This window comes from Homo sapiens, chromosome 5, assembly GCF_000001405.40.
Source record: "Homo sapiens chromosome 5, GRCh38.p14 Primary Assembly".
In the NCBI taxonomy this organism is placed as follows: Eukaryota; Metazoa; Chordata; class Mammalia; order Primates; family Hominidae; genus Homo; species Homo sapiens.
In genome coordinates this window covers 125515527-125530685 of record NC_000005.10, presented here as the reverse complement: position 1 = coordinate 125530685, position 15159 = coordinate 125515527, and the positions used below count along the sequence as shown (strand labels likewise).

General features: G+C 32.7%; 2 long non-coding RNA genes across 2 annotated transcripts in view; one reads left to right on the top strand and one right to left on the bottom strand.

Moving 5' to 3' along the window:
• The window catches only part of LOC124901056 (uncharacterized), an 891204-nt gene that overhangs the window by 839613 nt on the left and 36432 nt on the right, over positions 1-15159 (top strand). The gene's annotated exons all lie outside the window — the stretch shown is intronic.
• The window catches only part of LINC02240 (long intergenic non-protein coding RNA 2240), a 108967-nt gene that overhangs the window by 71542 nt on the left and 22266 nt on the right, over positions 1-15159 (bottom strand). Inside the window, exon 3 of the long non-coding RNA NR_109887.1 lies at positions 11091-11158. This is a non-coding gene — a long non-coding RNA (long intergenic non-protein coding RNA 2240). The remainder of the gene's footprint in view (positions 1-11090; positions 11159-15159) is intronic.

Below are 15159 nucleotides of genomic sequence, written 5' to 3'. Positions count from 1 at the left end.
AGCAATAAACAGAATGAACTACTGATACACACAACATGGATGAATCTCACAGACATTTTTGATGGGTGAAAGAAGCCTGATACAACAGAGTACATATTCTTTAACTCTTTTTATATGAAATTCTAGAAGAGGCAAAATAATTCCATTGTTTAAAAAAATCAGACAAGTGATTGTCTTGGGAGGTGAGGATTGACCAGAGAACACTTGGGGTCTTTGTAGGGAGACACAATGTTCTATATGATGATAGAGGAGTGAGGTTACTAAGGTATATCTATTTTTTAATATTGTGCAGCTAACATTTGTGTATTTCCAAGTAAATAAATTTCACTTCAGAAAGTATTATAAAATAACTGAGAGTCAGGTTTTAAAGTGTATAAAACTAAAAATGATATAAGAATGGCAGCATGATGATTATTTCAGAAACTGGGTGATGAGAACATGGGTATTCCCTTGTAATTCATTATATTATTCTACTTATTTTGCATATGTTTGCATTATTCTACTTACTTTGCCATAATAAAAAATTTAGAAAACTTGATAGAACTGGACAAGTTGAAGAAGAGAAAAATAGGAGGGAGAGAAAGAAAAGAAAGAGGGAGGGAGGTGGAGGAGAAAGATCATCTTGACTGCTGTAATGAGTATAGAATTTGCAGTTATAAGGGTGGAAAGAAACTAGAGTTACATTAAGTAATAAGAAAACTGAGAATAGATCATTGGATTTAGCCAAGTGGAAATTATCATGTATCTTAGCAAGAGCAGATTCAAAGTAGGAAAAGCAAAAACCTGATTGGAGAGAGAGGATGGAAGAAGAATTACAAACAAATTCAGACAGTCTTAGAATCATATTTTTGGTCTCCAAAGTGTTTTAGTCACTTCGTTTTGTAGGTATGTAATAAAAAACCCTAAGATATTGACTAGAAAACAATGGCCAGTTAGTGGGAAAAAGGAAACTGACACATTTACTCACCATTTAAAAATCCTTCATTCATACAAGTTTGCCTCCTTTTCAGAAAAAATAGTAAATTACTTTTATTTATTATTAGTTAAAAACCAGAATTTCTATTTGAAATAAAATATTTTCCCCTTAAGAAGAAGGCAGACATTAAATAGTATTATCTTAACATTTCCTAATTCCCTTTTCCATTACCACTTTATTTTCCAGAGAAATGGCAGTTGATTTGCCCGTCAGCCACCATTATACAAATAATGTCTTCAGCTATTCTTTGAACTATGCATGTTAGCAGCAAAAGTACAAATTCACTTTTGTATTTTGGTCACTCTGTTTTTCATGGACCTAAACTCACAAAACAATATTATCTCTGATTCTCAAATCTTTTGCTCAGAGTGAAATGTATTTTATTCTGGAATAATACAAACTGAACTTATCTTTTTCCTCAAATTCAAAGTGTTCCAAAGGTATCCTCCTCCTTGCCTCATTCTCATTTTTGAGGTTCTCCAGAGAATATAGGCAAGTGAATGACAGCAAACTTTTATCTATGTATCACCCCAGCTCAGCATGATCTCATAGAAGAATGGAAAGAGTAATCCGCAGTGGTCAAGGAGCTAAAGACTGAACTTGATCCATAATTAAACAACACATTCACATGGCTGAGCAAAGAGCTTGCAGCTATTGCTCATCTCAGATGTACTTTTACAAGGCTTCTCTCCTTTGAAAGCTTTTTTTAAAAAAACATTTCTTTGGTAAGTAGTCTAAATTATTCACTGCTTACAATATTAATTTTTGTTAGGCATTCCTGTGGTGTATTTTATACAATGGGATAGAATCATTTTATGCAGATTTTTAATTAAGGCTAGTCAAAGCCACTATGCTAATAATAATAAATAGACACATACCACACATATACACTGTGTAGTTCTGGCTCATTAGCTAAAATATGTAGCAAATAGCAATCAAAGCATCATTTCTTCGAACATTTATGTTAATTATACTATATACGACATATAATATTTATTCCAGGGGTGTGTAAAGGATTTTAAGATGAAAAAGTATAATTACGGTAATTATGATTTGGGAGCTTTTCTTTTTTGAATATTTCCTTTGGAGGTTTGTGTGCTATAAAAAAAATATTAAGTAAGAAAAGACTCTGGGAATGAACAAACACTTTGTTTTTAATAATCCTCATCGTATTCAATGCTGCTGCCATATTAGCATATTGTCATTTCTGCTTTTTACTTTTAAAAAAAGATCGATTTGCATAATTATGTAGAGTGCAATCTCCCTTTCAGGTTGTTCTTGGGTATGGAGTACTTAGCATTGCTTATCACTATGGGAGATAAGCCTCTGTAGATATTCATGACTTTTTGGAGCTGAAAAGAAAATAAATGTGCGTGTTTTTCTCTCTTTTTTTCTCGTTTCTTTATGAAGAGAAAAACTTTGGCATATTAGAATAATGAATATAAAATTGTCTTCTTTCTGAAATGCCATATGTGCCATATAAAAATACATGTGTATATACAGGTTTAAATTTTTGTTGTGATGAGAAATAGGCATATAAAGTTATGACCTCTACATTTCTCAAATTCTGTTCAGGTACATAAATGAGATATGAATACATAATAAAGAATAGAAAAAAAACTAGTCTAATAGTGGACTAGTTTCCGATGATCTTTAACTAACACATACACACAAAAGCACACTCATACAAACACGAACACACTCACACTCACACGCAAGCCTGCACCTACATATGATGAATTGCTCGCACAGGAGAAGATATTTCTTAAATGTGCAATAAATATTTTGAATGAAACTGTTCATTTACATAAAATGTAGTATAAGTATTTTGTGCCCTTTATAAAAAATATCCACTCATATGTTTAAAAAGCCGGAAAAAGAAAAAGTAAAATGGAAAGTTACAGAAAATGTGACAAAAATTTACTGTAAATCTCATCAACCGTCACTCAACAAACAGCCTAAAAAATAGGTTAGACAATGAAATAGTATCATGTAAAGTATTGTGAACTTAAGCTTAATTTTACTTGACTTTGATGAAAAGGAAACTGAGCTGAGACCTAAGAATTACTGAAGCTTGTGTGTGCGTGTGCACGTGCACGTGCGTGTTGCATACACATATATGTATGCAAGATGTAGCTTTTAAAGCCAGCATTTTATTGGGAATAATAACATTTGGGTTGTTTTTATTTTAACAAGCTTTCTCTGTATACTAAAAGATAATACAGAATAATTGAGAAAGCCGGAGGACCAGGTTTATGGCTAATAGCCAGTGAAAAATACACAGAACCATATCAAGTTCCAATGTGATTAAGAAGTGAGTACCAGCACTGCTGTCATTCACATCTGAAATGTCAGAAATACTACTTGATAACCTTGTAAGTAAAAGCTGGACATATCTCTGGCCATCATTCTAAGACAAAACAAACCAACCCAACAATAACAGTGACAATAACAACACAGCTAAATACAGCTGGGTGTGTTACATTCCTTGCTTTGGAATAGAAGACTCACAGGAAAGCTTCTGTTTAGTAAGTCCTGGGCCATGTGCCTGTACTCTAGCTGCCAGGTGGCTAGAAAAGCAAGGCTTCTGCATTCCACCTCCAGAAAGATAGGATTCAGAATGTGGGAACTTATGCTATCATTGGAATGTGAAGGATTGGGCTGTCATATATGACAGTTATCCATTCCATGTCTCTTGTTTCCTGATCTGATAATTCCCTTTTTCATGTTTTACTTCTTCCTTTTTGTGGAGCATATCCAATAATAGTTACTGAGAAAGTGTACATGAGAGGTAAAATTTTGAGCACTTGTATGTCTAAAAAGAGTTATTTTTAACTATATATTTCAAATTTGAAAAATATTTGACTCCCTGCTAGAACTATGAGGAAAATATCACTCATACTTCCTCCCACATTGCTCTTTTAATCTCCACTTTTAATTATATTGTCATCTGAACATTTCCAAAAGTGTAACATGCACCTTTGATTGCATAACTGTGAATACTTTAGTTCTCTCATCTTCAATGTTAGTATAAAAGTGGATTCAACTCTCCCTGAGCCTTGTTTTCAACAGTTTCTATTTTTCTACATTTTAAAAATTTTCTGTCATTTCCTGTTTGGCATTTTTTTATTATATAAGAGTGAGAAGTTATACCTTTTACCTTAAATATGAAGGACAACTTCCTCAGATATAAATTTGTGGTAATAGTTAACTTTTTAAAGAAATGTGTAGACATCTCTACACTATTTCTGCAACTGAATATTTCTTTGGAGACCTCTAAAGACCACTTGATATTCCTCTTTGTATATGACTTGCTTGTTCATTCATTAATGAATGTCCATACGATTCTTCCTTTATCCTTAAAGACCAGGGAATTTACCAAAATGCATGCACTTATATCAGTCCCTCTGTATCCATTTTTCCTGCAACATCATGAGACTCAATCTGCAGAGTTAAGCCTGACATATTTCAGAGAAGTTTACCCTAACTGCATACTTGAATTTTGTAATGTTTTTTCTGTTCTTAGAAACACAAGTTATATATAGTTCAATATCCTTTGCTGTATCCATAATTTTCTCCATAGTCATGTTCGTGTTTTGTTTTTTACTGTTTTATTTATGTAATTTGTTACACTCCATCTACTACACTTTTGATTTTGTTTTCAGTGATACTTATTTTTATGCATTATTTTTAAAGTGACTTTTAGAACCATCATATTTTTTATTCGCTTGCGTTTCTTTCCTAAGATCTATAGGCTCATTTTTCAACCATTTCTGTCTATTATATCCCTTTCTTTGAACATGTATAACTCTTTTCCCACTGTTTAAAGTATTATCTCATCTATAGCTTATTTCTATTTTTCTGACTTTACCTGTGTTTCTTTAATTCTTTTAATGATATTGCTTCTTCATTTTTCTTTTTAAGTGCTTCATAATTTTCCTTTTTATCCTCTATAACAAACATGTTTTAATGAGTGGTTTTTATGCTAGAGCTTTTGTGTTTATTACCTGATGAGAGACATGTCTGGACGGCTCTAGAGGCTCGTTTCCTTCTAACTTTTGATGTCTTAGCTGAGAGTTAGTTCAGTAGACTGAACTGGCCTTCAGAGAGCCAAGGCCTTTGGCTCATGTCAGCATTCCTGACATGTAAGACCGTTTCCAGGGCTTTTGGTTTGCATGACTTGGACTTTACTATGCATATTCCCTAGTGAAGTTTCCGGACCTAGAGATAATTTGATATATTTCTTATTTGTTTAGTAAAGGGATCAGGAAACACTATAACCACAACCCATGAAGCACACCCAGTCTGCTGCCTGTTTTTACATGGTACCTGAGCTAAGAATGGTTTTTATATTTTTATATGGTTTTAAAAAATGCAAAGAAGAATGATAATTCTTGAAATATGAAAGTTATATGGAATTCAAATTTTAGTACCCATATGTAAAGTTTATTTGAAACACAGCCACGCCGACTTTTTGTGTACTGTCTATGACTGCTTTTGTGCTACCACAGCAGAGTTGAGTAGTTGCAACAGAGCAGAGGCCATATGGCCAGTGAAGGCTCTCTCCATATAAAATATATGCTATCTGACCCTTGACCTTAAAACGTGTCCTTTCCTGACTTAGAGAAACAAGGTGTTCTGTAGTCTCCATCTTAGGCACATCCATAAACACATACCATAGTGTTAGGTACTCAGCCTCGGAGTGCTCAGTTGCATGTCCAGTGTGCTGATCAGGTCACACCCTCTCTCCTAGAACCTTGGTTTTCATGTATACAGAATATCTATGCCCATCCTATGGTAGAGAAAAATGGGACTTTGGGGGCTGCAATCACCCTGCTATTTCTCCAGCTGTAAAATTTTCCTTAATAAATGCTATGTTATATTAGGACTGTGTGGCACTTGATGTGTGCCTATGACCTTCTTGCATGACATTACTTATCTTTGAATGTTAATAGCTGCTAATTGAAAGATACGTGGGGTCAAAGTGGGCGTGGAGTGGGCTAGGGATCAGGAAGAATTTGAAAATCTGAAGACAAGTCTGCAGCCTCTATTTTGATGTTGGGATTTTTTGGTACGCTTTTTTTTTTTTGATCTTTTATTTCTAGCTTCCTCACTATTCTGAGATATCAAAATGGATCTCTACTGGGATGATTTTTCATTTTTAGAGACAACCCTAGATCTCATCTAATAATTAATCTAGTTAATTCTGATGATTTTTTGTGTCATCTAACTTTGAGGAAGTCTATACACTGTCTGTGATCCCTCATTTTGATTATCATTTAACAATATTTGGCAAGTGATCTTAATTGTTTTTCTTAAAAATTTGCTTCTTTCCCTTGTGATAGAATATCTTCTTCTTTATTTAGTTGTTTTTTGTTGTGGTGAAAGTTGAAGAAGCAGAGGGAGGAAAAATGTTCTTCTGCCTTTTTAAACTAGAAATTCCAGTTTGTTTTTATACCCTTAAGTATATTTAGAATCATGTATAATTGATCTTGCTCTCTGCTCCTGAATTTAATTTCTGTTCTGACATTAAACTACTAATGTTTTCAGCTGTGCAGAAAAAAAAATCACTAAAATTTATTTAAACTTAATGATCTGATATTCTTAGGAGTATCCTTTCAATTTGAATACAAGACTTATGCTAATAAAAGTGAACAGCAAAGTCCTTCGTAAATACAACATCCATTATTTCTTCCACAAAAAAAGTTGACTTTTAAATAAACCAGAATCATAATTATAAAATACTTCTCTCAATTCCTCAAAATCAGCTACCAAGAAGTTGCTTTCATTTATTCTTTCATGCCAAGTTAACTTATTCTATTTTTGCAGGTTGCATTATTTTTTGGGAAGATTGGATGTGCCCTCCCAAATACCCCTTAGAAATTGCTGGTGTGAAATTTTCATGTGAACAATTTCTGAATAAAATTTATTATGAATTCTCAGTTAGACAAGGGTATTTTTCTTCTTATTTGAAAAAAATAATTTTGTTGATGACATGTTTTAGGGGTAGTCATCCAAGACAAAAGGAATAAAATGCTTGGGAATGTCAACTATATGTAGGACAACAATTTGAAAACCATAAAATAGAGTGCTCCTTTAGGAAAACTGCTTCAACCTCAATCACAATACACAAAGCTGTATATATCCAAGTTACAGTAGCAGCATACTCAAAAGTTAGGAAAATTCCACCTTTAGAGATTTATGTACTCTTGAGTACAAGGAAGAATCAAAATATTTACAAAAGGATGTGAGCTATGCTTGGAAATTTTTAAAAATTGTTTTAACATTGTTTAGGAGCCTTTAATGTCTAATAAATACCATTTTCTAAGAAAAGAAAATGTTTACATTTTAAATATGAAAAAAATCAAAACTTTCGGTCAGCTGTTAATTATTCTAATTTTCAGTTAAATAGAATTTGTGTATATAAAGGAGAAATTATTCATAGATGATACAACACAAAAAAACCTCTTATGACTATTTTTAAAAAGCCAATGTTTATTGGATTCTTTTATTCCCAACACTTCAATGAGTAAGAATGTTGAAATAAATTATTTTTTCCCTACCCTTGTAGTGGTAAATCATTATAATGAAATAAAAAATAATGCATACTACAAAGATATTAAAAAAAAATCTGCATTCCTATGGATACAATTTTAAAGTGATTCTTGATGTACTCTTACAATGACACTTCTTTAATGTAGTTTTTCTTCTGGTATGGATAGCATTATAACTTATACTCCATTATTAGCTACCATAATCAACAATTTCTTAATATACCTAGGAACTGTTTCCATAATTTAAAGCTAGGATTTTAAATATTTCCATACATTTCAAAAAGTTTTATACTCTTTTATGTGTTGAGTTAATACAAAAATAAGTTAACCTCTTGTTGATATGATGTGTGATTCCTGGGATATATTGCTTAAATGAACACCCTAATTTGCTTATTTGTCAAGAACTACTACATAAACACTATGCCATTTCTAGGTCATAAAGATTTCATTATCTTCATTTACATTTCATTCTCCTATGTAACTCACTTATGTATCATTATGAATACGCAGAGATGATGTTTTCTGTCTAAGAATCAATCCCTACAGAGAAAACATGAGAGAGGGAATGAAAGAGAAGATAATGTATTCATTTGATGGTAATAATTAAAGTACTATTAATAAACTATCTCATCCCCAACATAGGAAGAAATATTGAAATAGTCGTGTTGCTATTTAACTGTCCATAACTGAGAGGGAAAAAGTATTTGCACAATTGAGAACAAAAATGCATGTAAATACTTCCAAGTTCTGATAAATACTGTAATTCTACTAATGCAAAATTATGCTCTTTGGGGTCCCAAAACTTTCTTTTCCCCACTATAAGACAGAATGTATCATATGAGGCAGTTCCCTAAAAGGCACTTTTGAATCTCATTCATAGCAATAAATCTATAGCCATCAATTCTTTGGACTTATCGACAAAATATTAAATTCCTGGATTGAACAACTTTCAATTTCAAATATAGTGAATTACCATTAGGCAGAAGACTTTTCCCTTCTTGGATTAAAAAAAAAGTCTAAATCTTCTGTTTGAAGGCATCATAGAAATGCTAAGGCAACCAAGCATTAGAGAGCCAAGATTATAGGTTTAAAGGAATCAAAGACTGGGAAACTCACATTGTGCTGGCCACTTTTCTCATAGTGGTACCTGTTGATACTTGGCAAAGATGGAAAGGCTAAAGGCATGCGAATGGGCCCACAGATAAGAATCTGAGCAGCCAGCCATACCTCTGGCAACTTCACAGGGCTAGGGAGACAAAAATTAGAGTCTAAACTCTAGGACTGCCAATATAGTTAGGACTTAAGGGACTAAGGGCCAGAGGGAAGGAAGATGTGGAGAACTGAGCTTCATACTTGTGGTTTTCCTCAAAATACATTTTCCAAATGTATAAATCTCATGGGGAAAATTGCTGAGAAGGTAAGCAGAAAGCTTTTGAAAAGTTGAATGAGATTTCCTTAGTCTCACCATGCTGAAAAAAAAATATATTGATTAGAATCTTCCAAGTAGAAGGGACTCTAGTAAACAACCCAGGATCTCAGTTGAAATCCAGAGTACTATGTAATACACAAGGGGATAATGTGAACCAATGATAGACACAGTTTTTACAAAAAATATAATCTAGCCTGGTGCCAACATAGCCCCTGGTTTGATTGAGGTAAACTGACCTCATTTTATCTATCTAATCATCAAGATCCTCAATAATTTTTCATGTGCAATATCTCATATTCAATCAGAATTTACCAGGTATGCAAAAAACAAAAACAAGGTCAAAAGCGAAAATGGAAAAAATAATAGAAAAATACACAGAGATGATCTTTACCACCAGCATAACCTCAACACTAAAATCTGATGAGATATTACTTTTGAGTTACTTCATGTTACTCAAAATTATAGGGCATTTCATGGCTGCAAAAAAATCTAAACAAAATATCTCATGTCAAAGGTAGTCATTCTAATAATATAAGATTGATTTAACATCACAATACCATTAGTGTAATTTGCCACATAATGAAATGAGAGAAAAGATGCAGAAAATATGATTTGAGGAAACTGACTCTCCATTCAAGATAGAAACTCTTAGCAAACTTGAAACAAAAAGAAACATCTTTAATCTGATTTAAAAAAAAAACTTACAGCAAACATTATACTTCACTGTGCACTATTAAAACCTTCCCCTAAGACCAGAAACAAGACAAGAATGCCTGGCATTATCATTTCTCTTTACATTTTAGTGTAAGTTTTAGCCAAGCAGCAAAATTCCCACATGTTGTAGGAGAGACCTGGTGGGAGATAATCGAATTATGGGGGTGGTTTCTCCCATACTGTTCTCATGGTAGTAATTAAGTCTCACAAGATCTGATGGTTTTATTATGGGTTTCCCCTTTCGCTTGGGTCTCATTTTCTCTTGTCTGCCGCCACGTAAGACTTGCCTATTGCCTTCTGCCATGACTGTGAGGCAGCCCCAGCCATGTGGAACTGTGAGTCCATTAAACCTCTTTTTCTTGATAGATTACCCAGTTTCAGGTGTGTCTTTATCAGCAGCATGAAAATTGACTATATATCGTTATTCAGAGATGACATTATCTTCCTGGGAACAATTTCTCCACAATGTCAGAGCAACAGAAAAACCAAACCAGGCCAAATATGGAAAAAAATGGTTTTAATGAGTCAACAGAGAGGAAATTTCAAAAGAGAAATGTTAACTGTGAAAAAACAAAAATTGAAAATGCTAGAACTGAAAAGTATAATAAATGAATAAAAATGTTTACAGTATGATCTTAACAAAGTATAGATGGTAAATGTTAGTGAACTTAAGGGCAGATAGATCTTCTCAAATCTGATGATCATTTCTTTTTGACAAAAATTTTTAAAATAATCAGAAATATGGGAGAAGTAACAAATGATGTAAAATATGTAACATGAGGATAAATAACCAATACTCGATGTCTTTCTGAAGAACACTATGCCTGCTAAATCAATATGTCAGTGTCTCAGTGCCTTCTACCAACTATTCTGAAGTTTCATCAGAAGAGAAAGAAATTGATAACCCAGTTGTTGTAGCATCCTTATCACCCAGCAATAGATTTTAGTTTAATGTCTCAAGCTTCAAGTCCAGTGGACTTTCAACTCTGTAAATTAATGGTGAGAACCTACACAACCATTCTGTTTTTCACTTTCAGTACAGTATTCAATAAATTACACGAAATATTTAAAAATTATTTAAGATTTATTAGAAAATAGGCTTGATGTTAGATGATTTTGCCCAACTGTAGGCTAATGTAAGTGTTCTGAGCATGTTTAAGATAGGCTAAGCTATGATGTTCTGTAGTTTAGATCTATTAAATGCATTTTGAACTTAAAATATTTTCAAGTTAAAATGAGTTTATTAGAACATAACCTCAACATTAAGTCAGGGAGGATCTGTATTTCTTTGTTCTGTGCTGCTATAACAAAACTGCAGACTAGGTAATTTATAATGACTAGAAATATATTGGCTCACAGTTCTGGAGGTTGGGAAGTTTGGTATCAATGTGCCAGCATCTGGCAAGGGCCTTCTTACCATGTCATCACATGGTGGGAGGTGGATGTCCATTCTTGCCACTTCTCCTGAAAATTGTACTGGAGGTCCTAGAAAGTATAGTAAAAAAAAGAAAAAAAATAATAAAAGTTAGAAACTTAGAAAAGAAGAAATAAAGCAGTCTCTATTCAGAAATGATATGAAAATGTGCAGAGAAAATCCTTAAAAATTACCAAAAAGCCCTACTAGAAAAAATAAGTAAATTTAGTGAAAATCACAGAACAAACACTAATATACAATGATCAATAGTATTTACATTTACTAGCAAGAAATAATGGGGATGAAGTTATGAAATAAAATTGAAACTCAAAAAGAAATATCATGTCTAGTAGCACTAAAGTCCAAAATATTTTGGAACAAACTTAACAAAAATATGCAGAATTTTTATACTGAAAACTGGAAACATTTCTCAGAGAACTTACATGAGACATAAATAAATGCTGAGATTTACTTTGTTCAAGAGTTTATTAGAAGATTCAACATTGTTAACTAATTCATTCTCCCACAAAAAGTCTATGTAGATTTAACACAGTCCCAATCAAAATGTAAGCAGACATATTTGTAGAATTTGTAAAAGCATAGGACATAGAAGAGCCAACAATGTTTTGAAAGTGAATAAAGTTAAAACAATCACATTTTCTAATTTGAAGATCTCTATAAAGCTAAAGTTAAAGTAATCTTGATAAATATTATTGGTACAAAGACATAGAGTGTCAGTGGAGCAGAATAGAATCCAGAAGTAAAGCCATGTATGTATGGTTCATTAAATTTTAACCAAGCACCAATAAGTTAATGAGATAAAATGAGTCTTTTCCATAAATGATGCTGGAATGTCTGTATAGCCATATGAAAAAAAAAAATAAAACATGTACCCCTATCTCATACTCTACATAAATATTAATTTGAAATAGGTCATTGGTGAATAGATTATTTATTTCTATTACCTAAAAATAAAAGGTAAAACTGTAACATTCTAGAGGAAAATGCAGGGGAAAATCTTCATAGATTGGAGTATGCAAAGATTTTTTTTTGGGCGGGGGGGTAAGAAAAAGCACTAAGCAAAAAAGAAAATTTAAATTGAACTTCCTCAAAATTAAAATCCTCTGTTTGTTCAAAAGCCTGCTAAAGAAAACCCAAAGGCCATTTACAACCTGGGAAGATATAGTTACATGTGCATGTATCCAACAAGGACTTCTATGCAGACGATATGAAGAGTTCTTACAAGTCAATAATATAAAGGCAAACAACCCAATAAAAAGAGGGCCAAAGGTTGAAAAGAACATCTCACAAGAGAAGATTAACAAATCACCAGTAGAATGTTTAAAGTCACTTTGAAAATGTTCAGCATAATTACTCATGAAGAAATGCAAATTAAAACCATAACAAAACACAAATTTGCACAATTGGAATGGCTAACATTAAAAAATTGTCAATATCAAACGTTAGCAGGAGTGTGGAGTACTTATGACTCATATATTGCTGTTGAGTGTCTAAAATGTTATAATCACTTTGTATAATCACTTTGGAAAAGAGGCTAGAATTTTCTTGTAAAATTAAATATACCCTTGTCATATGATACACTTAATGAAGATAACCACACAAAGACTTGCATGTGAATGTTCATAACAGCATTATTGTTAACACAAAAAAATTTGAAACAACTTTAAAGTTCATCAATAGGTGAGTGGATGATAAACAACTTGCAGTATGTATCTATATAATGGAAAACTACTCAGCTATATGAAGAAGTGAATTACTGATATGCATAAAAACATAGATTAACTAAAAACTTTATTTCTAATAAAAGAAGTAGATACGAAAGAGTACATACTGTATGATTAAATTTATGTAAAGTCTAACATTAAGCAACGCTATTCTACATTGACATAAATCAAGTCATGGCTTCCTGCAGTGAGTGTTGAGGGCATTGACTAAAAAGGGGCACAAAGGAATTTTCGAGAGTGATAGATATGTTCCCTGTTTGTATTGATATGATGATCACACAGATGTATAAATTTGTTATCAACATCACTTAAAATGCATGCATTTTATTGTGTCTAAATTGTACTTCATTAAAATTGATTGAGAATTACATTTCAAAAATTACAATAATTGAACTGACAAAACATACTGGCTAAAAACTGTTCAAGTGACATTATCAAGTGTTGGTGACCATGTGGGGCAGTTTGAATTCTCCTACAAAGCTGGTGAGTAAATTGATAAAATCACTCCAGAAAAGAATTTCACAGTATCTACTTTACCCAGTCTTTTTCATACCCTGAGACCCAGTAGTTCTACTTCAAAGTGAATGCTCCCCAAAATGCACAAGAATGTTTACAGCAGGACTGTTTGTAAAAGCCAAAAAGTGTAAACAATCCAAATGTTCATGAATAGAAGAATGGATAAACAAATTACAATGGAATGGTGTTACACAGCATTGAAAATAAGCCATTGGTACACATACTGTGGATAAATCTCAAAAAAAACCAGTATTTAGATGAAGAAGCCAAATCCTCCCAGAAGAGAATATACTATATAATTCTGTGACGCAATGATACGCTGTTAGAAGTCATGATAATGGTTTACTTGGTGGAGATAGTGACTGATAGTGACATGGAGGGATTCGTGCTGATAATATTCAAGTTTTGGGTCTTGGTCACCTAGTATGTTCACTTTGTGAAAATTAGCGAAGTTTTATTGTGGTATTCATGTACTTATCTATGTTACATTTCAATAAAAATCTTAGCGTATCTATCAAATGAATGAAAAGTAAAATGTTCAATCTTCTAGCTGTTGCCTTGTTGCCTGTATATTTCTGCAAATTCTATTATGTTTAGGAGAGACCCATTAGCCCTGGGACCTTCAAGAAGTCATAGAACTTATGGAATTCCTTCTTTGTAATCAATGCTGCACTGGGGAGAAAATTTAAAACAAAGCAAAACAAAACAAAAGACAAACTTTATTCCAAAGATGTTAACAAATTTTATTGGAAGACAAAACCGACTTAAGTTTTGTCTTTCAAAAAAAAAAGAAAAAAGACAAACCTTATTCCCAAGATAGTAACAGATTTTTTGAAAGACAAAAGCTGACTTAAGTATCTTTAACAATTGTCAGTGGTGTCCAAAAAGGCAGCAAAAGGAAATACCATATTTAAATGAGACTATATGTACTTCCCAAGGAGCAAATAACAATAGCCAACATGATTTCAACTTTACATTTTAGAAAATAACCTCAAAAGTACGTGGTAGTTAAATCTTCCAACCAGTGTTTATTATCCACAACATTATGACAAGTTAGGAGCATGCCCAGTGAAAACATTGGGACTTGAAGTACTGAGTGACTTCACACCCACTCATACACACATATAAACATGCGTATGCAGACACCAATGTAAGTAATGCATAGGGTTCTCAGTGTCAAAAAATAGCATATCAATTTTTAAAAGTTAGAGTAATACCATCATCTTATTCCCTTTTCTGGTTGTTGCAAGCATTTTCTGGATATTAATAATTTGAGTGAAAATCTTGTAATAATCTCCACTACATGCTAATTCTCACCGTTAAATCTTAGCCTTCACAGTAGCCCAAATCCAGCATAACTCAAATGTTAACTTTGATGTAAATATTATGCTTTTCAATAAAGCTTTATGATACTTCTAATTAACCATATGTGCAGCTTAGTTAGTGGCTACAGACTTACTTTATGGACTTGATCGTAATGAAAACTCAGATGCTGCTGTTTGTTTATTAAGTTGATATTTGCAGAAACACTTTTTGAGGCACTCAAAAGACTAACTGCAAAGGTTTATAGATTTGATTTACACCCACCTACACCTCCAAAGGGACGTGATGCAGCTACAAACTTTAGTAGAGTATAAATCTGGAAAATCTTCCAACCAGCTCTGCGTAATATTAGCTCCACAGGAGGATAAAAAGTATAATAAAGGAGAGAAAAGACATCTCTTTTAAATTTTATATTTAAAATTAGTCCATAGGTTTAATTGGCTACCCTGATTTCTTTAGCATAGGTCTTCATAATGAAATGTACATTG